Below are 20,364 nucleotides of genomic sequence, written 5' to 3' on the forward strand. Positions count from 1 at the left end.
ATATAGATATAATCATATAAAATATGTACATAATTGAATATATATGTGCTTGTATGTATGACTATCAGCTTTTTGCATATGCTGGAGTCTAAATTCACATATATTTTTGCCTAATTGACTACTTAGTATATAAAATTATAAAGAGTATATTTTAATCTCACTTTATGATTTTTCTTTCCATAGTTTTTCATTTTATCCTAAACCTCAGAGATGACCATTAATAATACTATATACATTCCTGATTTTCAGAGGTTATTATTAACCCTTTTAATATTTGACAAGTTCATAGACCAGAAAAAATTATATTCTACTTACATTTCTTTAATGTTATGGGGCTTCCCAGTTGCTTGATGGTGATAGGAAATTTATAATTTTTCTATGAATTACTATTTCATCACCGTTGTCTCTCTATTCTTATGGGTTTGTTTGACCTTTTATAACATACGCATGCAAACACACACACACACACACTTAAGTGTTGCACAATACTCATAAAATTTACCATCTGAATGCTTTTTAAGTGTATAATTCCATGACATTAAGTACATTGTTGTGCAACATCATCTCTCTGCAGAGCTCTTTCCATGTTGCAAAGCCAAAACTGTAAATCAATTAAACAATAAGCCCTCATTCCTCCTCTTCCCAGGCCCTGCAAACTATTATTCTATTTTCTGTCTCTGAATCTGACAACTTCAGTAACTCAAAAATGGAATGAATCATGCTGTATTTGTCTTTTTTGAAAAAGCCTGGCTTTTTTCACTAAGCCCGATGTCCTTAAGGTTCATACATATTGTAGTGTGTGTCAGAATTTCATTTCTTTTAAAGGTTGAATAACATTTTATTGTATGTATATACCACATTTTGTTTAGCTGTTCATCTGTCAATGGATACTTGGGTTTCTTCCACATTTGGGCTATTGTGAATAATGTTTCTGTGACTATGGGCTTACAAATATCTCGAGACTCTGTTTTCAGTTATTTTGTGTATATGTCCAGAAGTGAACTTGCTGTGTCATATGATGATTATATTTCTAAATATTTTGAGGAATCACCATACTATTTTCCAGCAGCGACTTTGTTTTACATTCCCACTAGCAGTGTACAAGTTATTTTCTGTTTCAATTTCTCCACATCCTTGTCAATACTTGTTATTTTCTGTTTTTTTTTTTTTTTTTTTTTTCTGATTATAGCCATCCTGATGGGTATGAAGTGGTATCTTTTTGTCTCTTTCATCCCTGTATAGGTATAATAGGGTCTTATAGATCAGAAATTTATCATTTTTAAAAAGGGCATGGTTTTGTTAAAAATTGGTTATTGGGAGATATTTTCTGTCATTGTATTTCAACATTACTTGTTACATGTAGAAAATCTACTGATATTTGTGCATAAATTTTATCAATGGATTATCACTATATTGAGAAGTCTATTTGTTTATTTTTGGGGATGAACATTTTTGAAATGATGTAAACTGCAATTAACAGTAATTTTGCCACATCTTTTCAACAATAATTCTGTGAATGGAGAGAGAGAGAGATAGAGAGAGACAGAAAGAGAGAGAGGGAGGGAGGGAGCACATGCATTCTGGTCTCTCCTCTTTTTATGAAGACAACAATCCCATCAGATTAGGACCCCACACTTATTACCTCATTTAACCCTAATTATTTCTCAAAGTCCTCATCTCCAAATATCATCACATTGGGGGTTGAGGCTTAAACATATGTATTTAGGGGGACACAATTCAGTCTATAAAATTCCACTCTGTGTTCCCCAAATTCATGTTCTTCTTACATGCAAAAAAATTCATCCCATGCCAAGAGTCCCAAAAGCCTTAAGCCATTCCAGCATCAATTTTAAGTAGAAAGTCTCATCTGAATAGCATCTAAATCAGGAATGGGTAACATTTGAGATATGATTTATCTTGAGACAAAATTTCTCCCCAACTGTGAAAGTGTAAAACCAGACAAATTATGTGTTTCCAAAATATATTTTATTTATTTATTTATTTATTTTGAGACAGAGTCTCGCTCTGTCGCCCAGGCTGGAGTGCAGTGGCGCGATCTCTGCTCACTGCAAGCTCTGCCTCCCGGGTTCACGCCATTCTCCTGCCTCAGCCTCCCGAGTAGCTGGGACTACAGGCGCCCGCCACCACACCCGGCTAATTTTTTGTATTTTAGTAGAGACGGGGTTTCACTGTATTAGTCAGGATGGTCTTGATCTCCTGACCTCCTGATCTGCCTACTTCGGCCTCCCAAAGTGCTGGGATTACAGGTATGAGCCACCACGCCCAGCCCTGTTTCAAAAATATAGTGGTGAAATAAGCATAGGACAGACATTCCCATTCCGAAAGGGAGAAATTAGAAGGCAGGAAGAGGTGATGGGTTTCAAGAAATTCCAAAACCTAGCAGTGCAAGTTCCGTTGTGTCTTAGGCTTGAGAGTTGGCCATACACTACACACCAGACACCTCAATTGCTTTGTCTTTAGTCTCCCATATGAACTGAGATGTAAATTAAATCCTATCCAAATCCTATTTGGCTGAATGTTCTTCCTTCCAGGCTCACTGAGGTGGTGCATTACTTCCACAATCCTAGGTGGCAGTCCCACTCCCTTGGCTTGGGAGCCTACCCTGTTCATACTATCTTTACAATGTCCCACCCATAAGGCACTGGGCTAGGGCAACTTGGTCCGCTGAAATTAAAAAGGAGGCCCCGCCCTGTATAACCAAAGAGAATGCAGCCTTGATCCTTTGGTCTGTGGCACCCCGATAATCTTTGAGTCAAAGGCGCAATTATTCTTTACTTTTCTTGAAAGATAAAGCATGCTCATAGCAAAATAGCCCTTTTGTCCCATTCTTTTTCCTTCATTTCCAACTGGCAATGTCTCTGCCAGTATAATTCCATCTATGCTGGTATTGTCTTATGTTTCTGATTTCTGCTGAGATGGCTGATTAAATCCATTATTCACATCCGTAATCTCTTTATCAAATGATTTTCTAGCCACACCCTTGGTATTCTCTCCAGAACACGTTTTCTGATTTTGGGAAATATGGATAGGCTGAGAATTTCTGGCTAACAATTATTTCAATTACTTCTTTAATCCATCTCTCCTCTCTTTCATTTTACCATAAGCAGTCAGGAGGACTCAGGCCATAACTTGAACATTTTGCCTAGGGGTCACCTCAGCTGTTATCTAACGTCAGCTTGCAAACTCTATCTTTCACAAAACTTTAGAACACAAGTTAGCCAAGTCTTTGCCACTTTTTAACAGGAATGACCTTTCCTTCATTGTCCAATAACATGTTGCTTTATTTCTGTCTAAGACCTCACTAGAAGCACCTTTAATATTCATATTTCTCCCAACATTCTGTTCATGATTATGTACATATTCTCTAAGAAGAGGTAGGCGTTCCCTTTTCTCTCAGTGCCCTCACCAGAATCACCTTTAATATCTATATTTCTATCAACAGTCCTTTATTGCAATCTAGGCTTTTTTTAGTTTACACCTTAAAATGATTCCAACCTCTACCCATTACCCAGTCCCACAGCCACTGCTGTATTTTTAGGTATTTGTTAGAGCAGCACCTCATATCTTGGTACCAAAATCTGTATTAATCAGGGTTCTCCAGAGAAACTGATCGAATAAGATATTAGTTCATCATATGGTGGAAGGTTGAGAACTCAAAAATCATCAATAAAACACTAGTAACATCCCATTTGGTACATTAGTGTTTTTGTTTTTATTATATTCACTTTATATATATAAAAGAAATGTTTGATGTTTGGAAATGATGTTGGTAATGATATCTTCTCCTTTTCATTGGGATAATAAAATCTCTGACGTAACTTAAAATTGCTGTTTTTCATTCCAGAGAGAAGTTACATGGAGGAGGGAAGATAGGCCACTTTTCAAAAACAACGGTTTCAACTCATTTTCTACATTTCTCTACCTGTGCTTCTTATTACTACTGCCATTTTAATAAAACAGAAAAAATTGAGAGAGCTATGCTATAGAGGGGAAAATGAAAGTGAGAGGTATGTATATACATATATATGTAAAAAAATATATATACATATATTTACTCTTATTACATTAAGAAAGACAAGAAAAATGTATTTATGTTTCATCAGGAATAATCTCCAACTGTAGCTAAGGCAATATAAAGAGAGGCTCAGGGAGACATTTTAAAAATGGTTTGATGCTGTTTGTTATTTGTTTTGATATTTTTTCTCATCTTACAAATTACTAAAACTACAGAGTTTACCACTAGTATCATGGTAAGAGCAGATATGGCTGCCAGGAGAATTTTGGAGGTTTATTTAGCCTCTTAGTTCACCGACCCTGTCCATACAGTCATATCACCTATGAGCTCTATTAGAATTATATGACACTGCATTTCAAGGGAACTTCCAAAAACTAAATTTATTAGATACAGATTTTCAGGCCAGTGATAAACATCTTTATTAGAACACCTCTCTCAATTAGAGATAATATCTATAAACCTATTTTGACAATATTTATTTTTCTAAATATAGATATTGCTGATTTGTAAAATCATTTCTTAATTAGAAACTACATGTGTAGTTAATAATGTCAGGTTAAAGAGACAGGAGGCACCACCATGTAGGAAGAGAATTACGCTTAGCTTCAGGAAACCTCGTTTTAAGTTATAAATCTTGCATGTAATACTGTGATACCGTGAGTAAGTGATTTAATCTTTATTTCCTTAAGATTATTCTCTATAACTCTACAGAATGGGAGGTAATAATAGCTTTTCAATTTATCTAAACTTTTGAGTACATCCATTTAATGAGTGAAATCATCATGTTATCTGTAATCAGTTGCACAAATTTTTAAACATCATATTGAGCCCCTTATTCATAATTTACAATATTTCATCACAGATATATTTACATCTAGGTTTACCCTCCGAGAACTGATGCAAAGATAAAACGTGTTTATATTTTCTGAGAGAGAGAAAGAAATATATTGATCTGTAAAGAAAAAGTATTTAAAATTTTTGAGTGCTACTTTATGGTTTGCCTTATTGGAACGGAGGAATTAGGGATATCATAAAATAAGGGGAGCTGCCTATATAAATGTGGGTTTACAAACATAAATTCTTGATTAAATGTAGAATGAGAATGAGAAGACTCAGTTACCAGACTGAGGTAACTGATGGCATTTGTTCTAATATTGAAACAGTACCTGTTTAAGTTGTTAAAAGGAGACCTTTCATTTATTTGAATCGCTGTTTCTTTGAAGAACAGTTTTCATTCAGTTGTTTAATTATTCAAGAATTACAATTTTCATCACTTTAAAACAAAGTTTATCAATTTTATAGCTCTGTGTCAGAAGAAAGCAGCAGTAACAGCAAGTCATCCCTCAGTGAAAGGTGAGTATGGGACTATGTGTTGAATCATTTTGCATTGTAAGTTTTGATCATTGCTTAGGAGCACTTAAAAATGGTTAGTTTGAAACCAAGCATTCTTTATGTATTTGTTTAATTCTCTCCATAGGTCATTTTATAATAATAAATAATAAAACCTTGGTTTTGTGAAATCTCAGCCTCTCCTTGACCTATAAAAGGAGAGATTTTTGTGCACTCACACTGGCAACTACCATCTATGAGCATGTAAATTGTGAGTTGTTTTTTTTTTTTTAGCATCGGGGTTTTTTTTTTTTAAGCATTTTTTTTTTTAGCATGTGTTTTAGTGATATCTTACTGGCATATAAAAAGATAACTGATGCTCTAATCAGCGGTACCATCCTTTTTGGCATCATGGACCGGTTTAGTGGAATAAAATTTTTCCACAGGGTGGGGTAGAGGGGGATAGTTTCAGCTCACATCATCAATCATTAGTTAGATTCCCATAAGGAGTGTGCAACCTAGACCTCTCATACGTGCAGTTCACAATAGAGTTCATGCTGCTATGAGAATCTAATGCCACTGCTGAGCTGACAGGAGGTGGAGCTGAGGCAGTAATGCTTGCTGGCCTGTGCTCACCTTGTGCTTTGTGGCCTGGTTCCTTTTATTTATATGTGTGTGTGTGTGTGTGTGTGTGTGTGTGTGTATATATATGTATGTGTATATATATATGTGTATATATATGTATATATGTATATATATGTGTATATATATAAATTATACTTTAAGTTCTAGGGTACATGTGCACAATGTGCAGGTTTGTTACATATGTATGCATGTGCCATGTTGGTGTGCTGCACCCATTAACTCGTCATTTACATTAGGTATATCTCCTAATGCTATCCCTCCCCCTCCCCCCACCCCACGACAGGCCCCGGTATGTGATGTTCCCCCTCCTGTGTCCAAGTGTTCTCATTGTTCAATTCCCACCTATGAGTGAGAACATACAGTGTTTGGTTTTTTGTCCTTGCAATAGTTTGCTGAGAATGATGGTTTCCAGCTTCACCCATGTCCCTACAAAGACATGAACTCATCATTTTTTATGGCCGCATAGTATTCTGTGGTGTGTATGTGCCACATTTTCTTAATCCAGTCTATCATTGTTGGACATTTGGCTTGGTTCCAAGTCTTTGCTATTGTGAATAGTGCCACAATAAACATACGTGTGCATGTGTCTTTGTAGCAGCATGATTTATAATCCTCTGGGTATATACCCAGTAATGGGATGGCTGGGTCAAATAGTATTTCTAGTTCTAGATCCCTGAGGAATCACCACACTGACTTCCACAGTGGTTGAACTAGTTTACAGTCCCACGAACGGTGTAAAAGTGTTCCTATTTCTTCACATCCTCTCCAGCACCTGTTATTTCCTGACTTTTTAATGATCGCCATTCTAACTGGTGTGAGATGGTATCTCATTGTGGTTTTCATTTGCATTTCTCTGATGACCAGTGATGATGAACATTTTTTCATGTGTCTGTTGGCTGCATAAATGTCTTCTTTTGAGAAGTGTCTGTTCATATCCTTCACCCACTTTTTGATGGGGTTGTTTGTTTTTTTTCTTGTAAATTTGTTTGTGTTCTTTGTAGATTCTGGATATTAGCCGTTTGTCAGATGAGGAGATAGCAAAAATTTTCTCCCATTCTGTAGGTTGCCTAGTGGTCTGCTTTCTAAGAAGCCATGGCTGTGGGGTTGGGGACCCCTGCTCTAAATGATGTCATAGGTGCTTATAGTTCTGCTATTATTTCAGAAAAAAAATTACTGAGAGTAAGTTTGAGCATTGAAATTATCATTCATTTCCCTGTCTCAATTCATCTGAGATAGTAAATTTAGGGATCAGATTATGAAGAATCAAACACAACATTTTATAAAATTAGATATCCTTCTTTTACTATCAGTATATACAGATTTTCCCTACCAAATGTTGGATAGACTATAAAATGGGAGAGTATTTCAAGTAGCATCCAATATTATTTCTCATGTTCTCTCTTCATCCTTGGAGTACAAAGTTAAACACTGACTGTGATGATTCATTTAGTAAATATTGAGATACATATCTGCAGTGAGGGAATTCCTGCTTTTAAGAGAAGCACTGTTAAATATGGGCCATCACCGTCCTAATTCTATTGTTAATGTTGGCTGCTTTAGGTTCTACAAAAATTAAGCATATCTCTGCTTTCTAGGCAAGATTATCTTTGATCCTTACTTTGATCACTTTGTGATGCATATTATAGAAGAGAAAATAATCAAAAGTGTTTTTATTATAATTCCTACCAAGAAGATAGAAAAAAGAGCTACTTACACTCAAAAATTGTGGATGGAAGGAAGTACTAAAGAGCAGAAATAATGTAGAGGAAAATAAACAGATAAAAACATAAGCAAAGACAAAAGCTGATTCTTTGAAAAGATTAATATAATTGATAAACATTAGCTAATAGTTCAAAATAAAACGAGAAATGATACAAATTACTATCATGTAATAAAATGATATCATGTCTAATTTTCTGGACATTAGAAGAAGTCAAAGTTGATAAGTTTAAATATTTAGTTAAAATACAACACATTTTTAAAAAAACACTTCTTTCCATCTTCCCAAAATGGAATAGAGAGAAGAAAAAGAAAGTATAAAGAAGTCTATATTTATTCAAGACCTGGAAGCTGTAATTTAGAACTTTCTCACAAAGTGGATACTTGAGCATGATCTTTTCATGGCATGCATCAGAACACAAAGCCAAGCCAAATTCAGTGAACATTTCCTCAATTCCATCAGCTTATGTTTTATTATATAAACAAGTAACAATGTCAAACTCAGTGTCAATGAAGGTGGTGTGTGTAATATACTCCATCCACTATAATGGGAGATACTACAAAGTCACATGGCAAAGAACATGTATAAATAATCGTATCTTAAGATATAAGTGAAAAATTGAGGACAATAATTCAAACTATTACATCCAGATGTTTAAGGAGGAAATACAGAAATACAGCAGTCCTCCCTTATCTGTGTGTGTGGGAGACATTCCAAGACCCGTAATGGATGTCTAAAATCACAAATAGTAACAATTCTACATTTACTTGTTTTTTCCTATATATATGTACCTATGATTAAGTTTAATTTGTAAATTAGACACATCAAGAGATTAAGAATAAATAATAATATAATTGAACAATTATAATAGTGTAATGTAATAAAAGTTATGTGAATATGATCTCTCTGTCTCAAAATACTGGAGTTTTTTTTGAAGTGTGGTTGACTGAAGATAATTTAAAGCATAAAAAACAAAACTGCAGATAAGAGGGGACTACTGTAATACCACTCTTACATATACTTATGCCGAGAATACAACAAAGGGAGCATTTCTCATCATGTTTTATGAGGTCAGCCTAGCTTTATGGCCCCCAAATTTAAGGGAACTATCAGAAAAGAAAATTATAGATCTATTTCTAATTAGAGATGTAGAAATGCTAAATAAAAGATTTCTAAATAAATCCACTTAGTATTATAGAGGATCATATATTATGGCCATGGAGATAGCCTAGGTATCTAAGAATGAAAAACTAGTTTAAAATATGTTTTACCATATTAAGGAAAAGGAGAAAAAATTATATGATAATTTCTATATATAAAGAAAAATACCCTTTAAAGAAAAAAAAACACTTTTATGATAAAAATTCCTAGTTAACTAGTGAAAAAAACTTTTAAAAACTGATAAGGAACATCTTCAAAAAAGCATACAACTATTTTAGTTAATAGTGAAATCGTGAATGTTTCCTTCCTGAGGTCAGGAGGATGTCCGTTATTGTTTTCAACACTGACATTTTCAACATCATATGGGAAATCCTAGCTGGTAAAATAAGGTAAGAAAGAAGTAAGCAAATGTAGTAAGATCAGAAATGAAGAAAGAATACTGTTATTGTTTGCAGATGATATGGCTTCAAATTTCAATGCACAAAAATTTGAAGAAATAACAAAACAAAATTAATAAAGAAAATATAAGGTTTTTGGATACAAGGCTACATATAAAAATCAATTTTATTTTTGTGTAAGCAACAGTTATAAAATGAAATTTAAAAAATGCAACTATATATAGTATAGGGAAATATGTATATATGATACATAGGGATATATATCCAGTGAAAAAGTGCAATACAGTTACACTTGTAATATAAAATACTGCTGAGAATTTTAATATCTAAACCAGTTGAAGAACATACTGTTCAATATTTTTAAGATATAATTTTTCCCTAATTGATATGTAGATTTAATGCAATCCCAAAATAAATATCTTGACATTTTTTGGTGGAAAATTAAAATTAGATTGTAAAATTTATATAAAGATAAATGGAGTCATATAGTCAACAAAATCTTGAAAACACAGGAAAAAGAAAACTTATACTACCTGATATTGACAACTTTTGTTAAGTAATCAAAACAATATAGGAGCATCATAGGACAGACAAATAAACCAATAAAAAAGAAGGAAGTGTTCAGAAACAGTTGTATAATATACTCACATCTTATTTATACTTCTGGTGCCACTATTATTTAGTGGATAAAAAAGTGATCTTTTCAATATATAGTAGGTTTTAAATTGCATTTCCTTGATGACATATGAATTAGTGATGTGGAGCACCTTTCCATATACCTGTTCTTCGTTTTTATGTTTTCCTTGGAGAACTGTCTGTCTAGCTTATTTGCCCATTTTTTGATCAATTTATTTGTTTTTCTGCAATTGAATTGTAAAAGTATTTTATACATTTTGGATATTAATCTTTTGCCAGAGATGTGGTTTGCAAATATTTTTCCTAGTCTATAGGTTCTCCTTTCATTATATTGCTTCTTTAGCTGTACAGAAGCTTGCTAGATTAACATAGTTCCATTTATTCATTTTTGTTTTGCGGCCTGAGCTTTGGTGTGATGTCTAAAAATTAATTGCTAAGGCCAGTATCAAAGAGCTTTCCTTCTATGTTCTCTGTTAAGAGTTTTATTATTTCAGGTCAAGAATTTAGGCATTTTCTTCCTTTTTGATTTCATTGTTGTGTATGGTGTAAGAAAGAATCTGATTTTATTCTTTTGTATATGAAAATCTAGTTTTTCCAGAACCACTTATTGAAGAGACTACTGTTTCCCCATTCTGTCCTCTAGGTGCCCTTGTTGAAAATTAGTTGATCATATATGTTTGGATTTATTTCTGGGCTCCCTATTTTGTTCCATTGGTCAATGTTTCTGTTTTGATGTCAGTGCCATTAATGTCTTGATTACTATAGCTTTGTAATATAACTTCAGATCTGGAAGGCAAAGTCTCCAACTTTGTTTTTCTTTCTCAGTATTGGTTTAACTATTTGGAATTTTTTGTGGTTCCATATTAATTTTAGGTTTGTTTTTCTATTTCTGTGAGGAATGCCACTGGCATTTCTAGAGAGATTTTGTTAAATCTGCATATTGATTTGAATATCATGAACATTTCAATATTATTTTGATCCATGAACATGGTATGTCTTTACATTTATTTGTGTCTTCTTCATCTCCTTTAATCAATGTTTTATTGTGTTCAGTGTACAAATGTTCCACCTTCGTGATTAATTTGAATTCTAAGTATATTATGTTTTTGATGTTATCAGAAATGGAACCGTTTTATTAATTTCTTTTTCAGCTAGGTGGTTCTTCGTATATAAAAATACTTGTGATTTTTTATATTGATTTTGTATCCTACAACTATACTGAATTCATTTATTGGTTTTTTCTAAGCTTTGGGGTTTTCTACATATAGGATTATGTCAATTGCAAATAGAGATAATTTACTTCCTCCTTTCTGATTTAGAGGCCTTTTATTTATTTTCCTTGTCTGATTGTATGTACTAGTACTTCCAGTACTATGTTGAATAGAAATGATGAGAATGGGCATTTTTGCTTTATACCAGATCTTAGTGCAAAAGCTTTATGATGTTAGCTATGGGTTTTTAACAAATGTCCTTTATTATGTTGAGAAAACTGTCTTATATATCTAAACTGTTGAAAATATTAGAAAAGGATGCTGAAGTTTGTCAAAAGCTTTTTTGATGAGTCTGTCCCACAGACTCTGGCCAGGCAACCAATGAAAGAAATACACAGACACAGGTATTTTGCCTGAGAATGCAGCTAGGGAACTGCACAGCTTAGCACCGCTGACAAGAGTGCAGCTCCAATAAGCTGGAGATGCTCGTATTTATTCAGTGCAGATTTAATGACAAAGGCTTGGAGCAAACACAATTTGTGGGTAATTAACATTGTCCACTCCCCTGAGTATAGAGCAGTCCTACAGTAAACAAATTTATCTAGATAAGTTCCTTTACATTCCCTTGTTATCTACCCTTTGCCCTCAGCCTCTGGATAAGAGAATTTGGCTGCCTTCAGCCATAATTCTCTTCTGAAGCTTTTGCAAAACTACCCAGCCTTCCAAGAAGGTTTGCGTCTTTCCTATTTTTCCCACCACCCTGACTGATCCTCCTACACTTCTTTGTGTGTAAATTTACATGATCATGAGGTTTTTATTTTCTTATTCTGTTAATGTGATATGGCATATTGATTTGCATGTGTTAAAGCAGACTTGCATGCCAGGAATAAATCCAACCTGGTTATGATGTGTAAACTTTTGATGTGTTGTTGAGTTCAGTTTGCTACTGTATTATTGATGATTATTGCATCAATGTTCATCAGAGATACTGGCCTGTAGTTTCATTTATTTATTTTTTTGGGCAGTGTCTCTGACTTAGGCATCAAGGTGATGCTGGTCTTGTAAAATGTTTTAGAAAGTGTTCCTTTCAGCTCTAATTTTTGGAAAAATTTAAGAAATACTGATAATAATTCTTCCCTGAATTTTTGGTAGAATTCAGCTATGAAACCATCTGGTCCTGGGATTTTTATTTGCTGAAATGTTTTTAATTCTTCAAGCTATCTATTTCCTCCTGATTCAATCTTCAGATGATATTTTTCTAGGAATCTATCTATTTCCTCAAAGTTATCAATTTTGTTGACGTATAATTCCTCATAATCACCCTTTTTAAAACTTTTTTATTTCTGAGGCATCTGGTAGTGATGTCTCCACTTTTATTTCTAATTTATTTATTTAAGTATTATCTCTCTCTCTTTTTAAAAATTACTCTATCTAGGAGTTTGCCAATTTTATTTTTTAAATAATCAACTCTTGGTTTTATTGATTTTTTTTTCTTGTTTCTCGGTCATCTATTTGATTTATTTCAGTTCTAATCTTTATTATTTCCTTTCATTCAATAACTTTGGATTTCATTTGTTCTTTTTACAGCTCCTTGAGGCACAATGTTTGGCTATTTACTTGGGATCTTTCATCTTTTCTAATGTAGGCATTTATTGCTACAAACTTCTCTTTTAGAACTACTTTTGCTGCATCCTGTGCTATGTGAACTCCAGGAAGCTCCCTAGGTTGGTGTCAGTGGCTGTAAGGACTACAGGATTCTCCAGTAGCAAAGAGTGTGGTGTCTGTGGTGATAATGGGAACTGTTGGGGTCTACTGCTTACCTTTTTCCCTGCAGAAAAACTTCCCTTCAGGTTTTGATCTGATTCTGACTGTGGGGATGGGGTAGCACAGGGAAAGTGTTTTCTTCTCTTCTCTATGCAGCCATCCTGAGTGTCTATGCTTCACAAAATTTCTGCCACTCCCTTGATGTACACCTGAGCTCTCCTTAGTCTTTTTGGTCAAAACTAGCTTATTTGTTGTTTTGGTCTTTTTGTGGGAGGAGATGAGCATTAGGCACCTCTAGCTTAACATCTAGCTGATATTCCTCAGAATATGTAATGGTGGTGGGTAAATCACTTTTAATTCTACTATAATATCAAAAGACAAAAGCATTAAAATAATTATAAGTAAGAATATGTTAATGGGCACATAATGTAAGTTGTAATATAAAGTGTGACATCAGTAACAAAGTATTATTGGGAGGACAATAAAAGTGTATTATTGGGAGGACAATAAAAGTGTATTATTGGGAGGACAATAAAACTGTAGTGTTTAAATGTGATTAATAGTATCAGTTCAAAACAAACTGTTACAAGATTTTTAAATATAAGCTGCATAGTAATAAAAATACTTACAGAAGTTACACAAAAGTGAAAGAGAAAGGAATTATACAATAAAAAAGTAAATGAAACATGAAGGAATACAGCAAGAGAATAAAAGAGGGACAAAATAACCATAAGATTAAACAGAAAAAGATAATTAACAAAAGGCATTAGTAAGGCATGATGGCTGAATAGAATCCTTCAGCAATTGTACGCACTACCAAGAACATCAAGTCAAACAATTATCAATTTAAGAAAGCATCTTCATAGGAGCCCAAAACCAGATAAGCAATCACATTACATGGTGTTAGCATAATAACGTGGAAGGATGCACTGAAGGAGGTCAAAAGGACAGAGTTCCATTTCCTGCATCACCCCTCCCCCAGTGCCAGGCAGTATATCACAGAAGAGAGGCTGTGCTCTTGGGGGAGGGAAAGCAAAGTTGGTGTGGAACTTTGCACTGAAACTCAGTGCTGCACTGTCACAGCGGAACACAGCACTAGGCAGAATTCCACCAGTGCTGACAGCGAGCATTTAGATCAGTCGTGGGCCAAGGGGACTCCACTGCTTCAGCACGAGGAACCCAAGTCTCAGCCTACTTCACTGCAGGCTGATGAACATGGCCTGGGGCCCCAAATAACCTTGAGTGGCAGCTAGGCCATAGTGACTACAGTCCTTGGGTAAGCCCTGGTGCTGTCCTGGTCTCAGATGCTGTAGGCTTGATGTACAGCCCAGCGCAACACTAGCTGTGGCAGCCATGAGAGTGCCTACATCACCCCTTTCCCAATTCCATACCATGTAGTATGGAGAGAGACTTTTTCTGCTTGGGAGAAGGAGGGGAAAGAGTACAATAGACTTTATTTTGCAACCAGGTACCAGCCCAGGCACAGGAAAATAAAGCATACGGCAGAATCCCAAAGTCCTAATTTCAGGTCATTGCTCCTAAATGGTGTTTCTAGGTCTTCTAAACTTTGGTTAGAAGAGATCTGGCTGCCCTTGTGGGATGGACCGTTGTCCAACCTGTGTGATGAACCACCAGTTAACTAAAGTAGCCTTGAATAAACATCAATGGCAGTCAGGCAATGGTAGCTTCGGTCCTCAGATGAGCCCCAGGTGAGCCCCAGTACTATGCTGATCTGGGAGGCTGTAGGCTTCAGGTGTGACACAGCAGGGTACCAGCTGTGATGGCCACAGGAGTGCTCGTGTCTTCCCTTTCCCAATTCCAGGCAGCCCACTACACAGACAGATTCCTTCTGCCTGGGGAAAAGAGAGAGAAGAGAGCAAGGGACTTTGCCTGTGAACAGAGGAATTTCTCCCTATTTTCCTCCAAGTCCATCAGAGTTGTGTATTTAGGAGTCTGCAAGAGATACAGCATATCTGGGCTTAGAGATCCCTCTAGCACTGAAACGCCTGTAGAGGCAACAGACTTGAGTAACTTAATACTCAATCTTCTTTAAATTCTTGGAAAGTCATTTGAAGAAGGGCAAGTAAAAACAAAGCCAGACTCTGAAGACTAGAATAAATACCTAGAGACATCAATAGACTGCAATGCAATAGTAGTAGGGGCCTTTTAACACCACACTTTCAGCAATGGTCAGATCACCAGACAGAAAATCATCAATGAACTATTGGAATTAAACAACACTAGATCAAATGGCCCTAACTGACATTTACAGAATATTTTATGTAACTGGTGCAGAACATATGTTAATTTCATCAGCACATAGAACATCCTCCAGGACAGATCATATGTAAAGCCACAAAACAAGTCATAACACATTCAAAGATGGAATAATATCAAGTATCATTTTGAAAAACAATGGAATGAAACTAGAAATCAATGAAAAGAGGAACTTTGGAAACGATACAAATACATGAAACTTTAACAATGTGCTCCTGAAAGACCAGTGTGTCAATAGAGAAATTAAGAAAGAAATATTTTTAAAAATTGAAGGAAACAAAAATGGAAACAGAACATACCAAAGTCTGTGGAATGCAGCAAAACCAGTACTAAAAGGAAAGTTTATACCTATACATACTGACATCAAAAAAGTAGAAAGACTTCAGTTATGCAACCTCATGGTGCACTGCAAGAAAAAAAGCAAGGACAAACCAAACCACACATTAGTAGAAGAAAATAAATAATAAAAACTAGAGCAGAAATAAATGAAATTGAGAATTAGAAAGGTCCATGAAACAAGAAGTTTGTTTTTGAAAAGATAAACACATCTTTTGCTACATTGACTAAGAAAAAGAAAAAAATGGATTGAATACTTAAATGTAAGATACGATTTATATGAACCCAAATCAGAGAAAAATCATTACAATTGACACTTCAGTAATTTAAAGGCAGCATTCAAGTAGAGATATTATGAGCAAAAGTGTGTCAATAATTTGGAAAACCTAGAAGAAATGGACAAATTTCTAGACACATTCAGCCTATCAAGATTGAACCATGAATAACAGAAAATCTGAACAGATCAATAATGAATAATGACATAGTAGCTGCAATAAAAAGTTTTCCATCCAAGAAAAGTTCAGGACTAGATAGCTTTAATATTGTATCCTACCAAATATTTAACGAAGAACTAGTACCAATTTTACTCAAACTATTCCAAAACCTTGAGAAGGAGGGAATATTCCCAATATCATTCTACAAGGCCAACATTTCCTTCAAAAACCTTACAAAGACACAGCAATAACAACAAAAAACTACAGGCCAACATCCTGATGAAAATGCAAAAATCCTCATCTCTACTAAAATACCAAAAAAAAAAAAATTTAGCCAGGCATGGTGATGCAAGCCTGTAATCCCAGCTACTTGGGAGGCCAAGGCAGGAGAATAACTTGAGCATGGGAGGCAGAGGTTGCAGTGGGCCGAGATCATGCCACCAACCTCCAGCTTGGGTGACAGAGTGAGACTCCATCTTAAAAATAAATAAAAATGAAAATAAAAATAAAAATAAAACACTTATAAAAGAAATTAAAGAGGACACAAAAAAGTGGAAATATATCCCAAGCTCATGGATTGGAAGAATTAATACTGTTTAAATGTCCGTATAACCCAAAGCAATCTACAGATTCAATGCAATCGCTATCAAAATACCAATGACGTTCTTCACAGAAATAGAACAATAATCCAAAAATTCGTATGGAACCACAAAAGATAGTCTCTTTAACAAATAGTGTTGGGAATACTTTATATCCTCATGCTAAAGAATGAAATTGGGCCATTATACACAAAGGCCAACTCAAAATGGATTGAAGACTTAAATGTAAGATATGAATTATAAAACTCTTAGAAGAAAACATAGAGAAAAATCTTCATGACATTGGTCTTGGCAATGATTTCATGGATATGACATGAAAAGCACAGACAACAAATAAAAAAAAGACATATGGGGCAACATTAAACTCAAAAGCTTCTTCATAGCAAAGGAAATGCTGAAAATCCAATGGAATGGGAGAAAATATTTGCAAACCATTTATCAGTTAAGGGGCTAATTCCCAAAATATATTAAGAACTCTTTCAACTCAATAGCAAAAAACTAATAACCTGATTAAAAGTTAGCTGAAGACTTGAATAGACATTTTGCCAAAGAAAATATATAAGACTCTTACAACTCTGTAGCAAAATACCTAATAATTTAAAAAATGGGCTAAAGACTTCAATAGACATTTCTCCAAAGAGGACATACAAGTGGCCAATAGGCATATGAAAAGATGCTCAATTTCATTAACTATCAAATGTATGCTAATCAAAACCGCAATGAGATTCACCTCACACCTGTTAGGATAGATCTTAAAAACAACAACAACAACAGAGAAATGTTGAGGAGGATGTGGAGAAATTAGAATCTTTGTGTATACTGTTGGTGGGAATGCAAAATGTTGAAACCATTATGGAAAATGACATGGAGGGTTATCAAAAATTAAAAATACAATTACAATATAACCCAGCAATTCTACTTCTTGAAATTTATGGAAAAGAATTGAAATCAGGAAACCGAAGAGATATTAGCATTCTAATGTTCACTGAAGCACTATTCACAACTGCCAAGTGTGGCTACAACCTAAATGTCCATCGATAAATAAGTGGATAAAAATAAATGTGGCATCTCTCTCCTCCTTTCTCTCTCTCTCTCTCTCGCTCTCTCTTTCTCTCTCTCTCTCTCACTCTCTCTCTCTTTCTCTCTCTCTCTCTCTCTCTCTCTGTGTGTGTGTGTGTGTGTGTGTATGTGTATGTATCTAATGGAATATTATTCAGCCTTAAAAAGAAGATCCTGTAATGTGTAAAACATGGATGAACCTTGAGGACAAACACTGAATAATTCCACTTATGTGAGGTATCTAAAAAGTCAAACTCACAAAATTAGAGCAGAATGGTGGTTTCCAGGAACCAGGGGGTGGAGCAAATGGGTAGTTGCGTCAGTGGGCATAAAGTCTCAAATATGCATGATGAAAATGTTCTAGAGATCTGGTGAAAAACATTGTCCCTAAAATTAACAAAACCATATTGTACACTTAAAAATGTGGTAAGATGGTCGATCTCATGCTGTGTTCTTACCATATATAGTACAAATTTTTTAAAATAAATACTTTTGCCATTTATAAGATACCCTTAAGAAGGGAAAAAGGAACCGCAGGGATGCGGTTACACTGGCGAGAAAACAGTTTTGGCGGCGGGGAGAGTTGGGGAGGGTGGAGGGGGTGTTGTGATGGGAGGGGTGATTTACAGAGTGAGTAGCAGATGTGGAAGGTGGGCTCTACAGATAAAGACTTCGAGGAAGGTTGTTTCCCAGGGCAAGGGAACACAGAGAGTGAGGGAGTCTTGTCTTGAAAGCAGGAAACAAAGGACTAGGAAACTTAAACAAGTTAACCCTTTGAAGAAGAATGTCTTACTGTATTTAACATTTTGAAAGTCTATTATTGTGAATATTTATGCCACTTCCAGTTTTTAGTTATTACAAATACACCGTAATAAGCATTCTGGTATGTATATATATCTGTGAGCAATTGTCAAGTTATCGCCTGAGATAAATCCCTAGAAGATATCAAGAATAAATATAGTGTAATATGAAGACTTTTGTTGTTTTAAAATATCTATTACTAAATTATCAGTCCATTTGTATCAAGTTGTAACTTTCATAATTTATTAATTTATTAGCTAGTTTGGATATGTGAGTGGTATACTTTCTGAGCCCTAGCATATCTTAAATTCTACTTCTTTTATTTTACTACCTTACTGAATTTTCTTTGTAATTTTCCACTATGTCACTTTGTAATGAGCTATTTCTATAAAGAATATAGAAATAGAAGTAGAAAATACGAAATATGAACATCTGGAATTAGAGGCATTTTGAGACTCCCTTTAGTATGAAGGAAGCTTAGCATATTTTACCTTTAAAAAATCTCTCCCTTCACTAATCTTTCTGTTATGTAAATTGAGATTTTAGACCTAGCCTACTGTTAATAAATTTCTGCTTTTAAATATTATTTATTTTGGTTCTAAAATATTTTGTCTTTTTCAGTTTTATAAAGTTTACAGCAAACATTTTGAATTCATTTATATTTAACTGGTTTTATTTTTTAAAGTTCTAAAGAATGATTTTAACTTTTAATGGTGTTAAGATCCTTTTCTAGCCAGAGAACTTGGAATGCATGAATCTTAACTTTACCATCACTTTCTTCTCTTATTCAATAAATAATGTGTGCATGTGAGTGTGTGAATCATTCTTATTATTATAGTAGTAACACATAATAAACATTGATTAAAATATATATGTGAGTAAAAGAATGAAATGGTAATCATCATTAGTCCCAGCACCAGGGGTGATCATTCTTTAAAAATTTCATTATATAGATATACACACCAATGTGCATGCATGCATGTGTGTGTATATGTACATGTTGGTGTTATCTAATAAAAAGATACTTAGAATTACCACCTTTCAATTTTAAAATAAAATTGTTGCATATATTTAGAATGGAGTTTTCAAGTCACTTTATTTATTGATGTAAATAGTTACCAAACATGGATAAAAAACCAGTGTACTTTAACCAGTCACTTCTATTTTAAAACTAAGAGTATCTTCAGTCGTGGTAACAAGTAATATTTTTCTGGAATTTTTATTTTCTTAATTTTTTGCTTTTAATCACCCATAGTTTTAAAATTACTTGAGTTAGAAATGTGTTAGCTACAAGAAAGAAAAATGAGCAACATTGGCGTTTGTTTTGTTTTCTCCTACAGCACCAGTCTCTAACAACCTTGAATGCTACTGCTTGGAGAGAGGAGAGTAACAAATACATTATCAGAAACTGGCCCAAACCAAGGAGGAACAAGACACAATTTCTCTCTCATTGCTCTTGTCACTGCTGAGGGTTTTAAACTATGAAATAAATCATCTGGCCTGAATCTCATGACTTACGTCCATTGAATTCTCTGTATTTGCAGTCCAAATTCTACCCTATCAAATTTGGATCCATAAGATGCTCTGAATCAGGTGAAAGGAGCCTAAGACCCTCATCTCATAAAGGCAAGAGGGACTGCCAGTCAGCCTCACAGCAGAGAGTATCTGTTTTCCCTTCTGCTTCTTAGGTTGACCAGAATCTCCCTCAAGTCTGACCTATCCCCTTTCCTTCAGAGTTCCTAGCGTCTAGGTATTCTGTGACTGGTTACAGTGACATTTATGCAGATGGTATCTGAGTCCAATCCCTGTCTTCTTACTCCTGCTCATTTATGAAAGCTGTAAAGCCACTTTAGTGTGTTAAAATACCTGTTTGCCAAAAGTAGATTTACCATAAAGCTAAGGAAGCAAAAACTTAAGAGCAACTTAGTTGCACAGATTCTCTTCAAAGTCATGAAGCT

General features: G+C 34.6%; 1 pseudogene across 1 annotated transcript in view; it reads left to right on the top strand.

Moving 5' to 3' along the window:
* ADAM5 (ADAM metallopeptidase domain 5 (pseudogene)) overlaps positions 1–19,911 on the top strand; it is a 102,747-nt pseudogene extending 82,836 nt beyond the window's left edge. Inside the window, exons 14-16 of the transcript NR_001448.2 lie at positions 3,866–4,028; positions 5,339–5,389; positions 19,747–19,911. The product of NR_001448.2 is annotated as an ADAM metallopeptidase domain 5 (pseudogene) (transcript). The remainder of the gene's footprint in view (positions 1–3,865; positions 4,029–5,338; positions 5,390–19,746) is intronic.
* The last annotated feature ends 453 nt before the right edge of the window (positions 19,912–20,364 follow it).

Source organism: Homo sapiens, chromosome 8, assembly GCF_000001405.40.
Source record: "Homo sapiens chromosome 8, GRCh38.p14 Primary Assembly".
Classification (NCBI taxonomy): Eukaryota; Metazoa; Chordata; class Mammalia; order Primates; family Hominidae; genus Homo; species Homo sapiens.